This window comes from Homo sapiens, chromosome 8 (assembly GCF_000001405.40).
Source record: "Homo sapiens chromosome 8, GRCh38.p14 Primary Assembly".
NCBI classification, from domain to species: domain Eukaryota; kingdom Metazoa; phylum Chordata; class Mammalia; order Primates; family Hominidae; genus Homo; species Homo sapiens.
The window spans coordinates 131,364,188-131,366,678 of record NC_000008.11 but is presented as its reverse complement, the minus strand read 5'-3'; positions in this window follow the sequence as shown (position 1 = coordinate 131,366,678).

The window sequence follows — 2,491 nt, the reverse complement described above, 5'->3', positions numbered from 1 at the left end:
CTAGGGTGACTAATCAGCCAAGTGAATGCAGCTAACTAGCAGCAGAGCTGAATTCAGTTCTGAATTCCTGACTCACTTATTATCAAAGTTTTCAATCTTGATTCATTCTTTTACTTCTTTTATTATTTATCACTCAGGTTAACAATGGAGTAGTGATTAATATTTTTTCTATAAATTTACTTTAAATCAGCTCACTTTTATTTGTATTGTGCTGAGTAATAATGTCCCTAAAATTATATATGTGTGACATATTGGTAACATTTTTCTAATGCCCTTTAAAATAAATGTGTAACTATTAAATAAGTGTGGTTGAGGTCACGCTGTATATTATACTGTGCATGCTACACCACAATGGCCAACACCAGTCTGTCTCCTCTCCAAGGGCCTGAGACCTCCTGAGATGAGGGAGAAAGTTGTTTTGGCCACTCTCTGTTATTTCACCAACCTCAGGTTCCAATGTGGTTTCTAGATGGAGTTACCCTCCAGTTCTTTTTTCAGCACTAGTTTGTTTTTTTTGGCTTTGTTCCATCTTTCTAAACATGATTTTCCTTCTGAACAAATTAAAGGTCATTCTAGCAAAAGTCTTTCAGATGCTATTTGGATCCTACTTTCTGAGAGTAAAATGTACACATTTACATTGTATGCAATGTTGCTAAAGGCAAACATTACTTGTACTACTAATCTGTGTGTCTATTTATTTTAATATTCAGGCTTTAAAAAGAATAGATATAGAAAACATTGTGCCAAAACAGAAACTCATAACTTAATGTCAAATGAGGAAATAAAAAATGCAAACTTGTATCTATGCAATAGTTTCAATTATATAAAACCCTCATATGCAGACAAAAAAGCTTCATGAACAAATATAAATTATTCTTATATTTGAACATTTTGAATGGCACCATTATTTAGATTTTAATAAACATTTGCATTTTTAGATTTTGTTTGTTTTATCAATCTTTATTGTCCCTTAAAGACTGTTATACACTATAGATCTTCAACAAAACATTAGAAAGCCACCAATATACTTGTTCTTCAAAATATTTTTGTAACTTATTAACTTAATCAAGTTCAAGTTAATCAAGTGAAAGGAAAGTCTATCTTGTGGGTATAAAGAGAAAAGCTAGATCTTTCAGGATTGGTGCTAAAAACATTTCTACACATGAAGAAAGACACCTATTCACCTCAGAGCTTCTGTGGTGATCTCTTACTAATTGCTGCTGTCACTGCTATTTTACCTCGGGGATTTAAGTGTAGTAGGAAGAAAAAGCGTCATTATTCCTCTTTTTGTGCTTGTTACTGCCTTTATCCTTCCATAGTATGCTTTGAATCTTAGCTAAAGCAAAATTTGAGCACACAGAATTTCTTTTTCATGTTTTAGTAGATAATAAACAGTAAACCATGTGAAGCTAATTAGTTAGGCTTCCAAGAGAAATTGACCATTGATATTTTGAGATGCTCTCATTTCTTTGCCCCCAACCTGCCACCAGGAGCTGGATATCATTGTAGTATCCTTATCTGGTATTACAGCTTCACCACCCACCCTCCATAATGTCTAGACACAAGCGATTGATACACAGAGGACAGAGGGATATCTCATTTCCCATATCACTAGGATTTGCCTTCTGAGCTCTCATTTTACTTTTCTAAGAACTTGATGGCCCTCAAGTAATTAATGGTGCAAAGTTACAGTCCACTTTTGAATATTCCATATTACCCTAAAAGCCTTCAGAGAAGACATCAGAGTAAGCCCAACATTCACATACACAGTCAGTTATGCGTGAGAGTGCTGTGGGGGTGGTCATAGGCCAACATAGACCATGGTACAATCAGGAGTTAAACCAAGGAAATCTAACTTTCAGGCAGTGGTAGTACTTTATTTTTCTTCCAAGTAGAAATTAGGAGGAGATTCTCACGTCATGAGATTTGACATGGGTGTGGTAGTGTGAGTGTCTTTGGTTTACTGACAGCAAGAAATTGTGCTCACATTTAAGATACTGTGGACTAAGAGACAACAGACTATAGGATTAGCCTTGGGAAAGACCAAGGACATGATCCCAGGGAATTACTCCTTAGTCAGGCATAGGCTGCAGTGCTAGGAATAATCTTTCCTCTGGATGGCATCTGGCATTGTGCTGGAACAGCATCCGGATTTCTGGTGGTTTCTGCAGTCTGAAAAGCAAGGTCATGGCCTTTGTTAAGGCAGGGTCCAGGTAGAGTTGGAGAAGAAATTACCTGCCGAAAGCAAGGGCCGTGACTATGAGAACTTTGGGACCGTTAGCATTATGGTCACTTTCCCATGTCTATGATTCCGTTACTCCATTCTGTGCTCCCACTTGGCTACCAGATGCCAGTGTTGTCTATTTAGAGAGCACTCCACCTTCCAGACTCAGACTCACTCCAGATGGCTGTTGTTGACATGCCATTAACTCAGGTCCCTGTGGTGTCATCCTTTGGCTCTTCTCAAAATTCTTTCCTCCATGTTTATTTT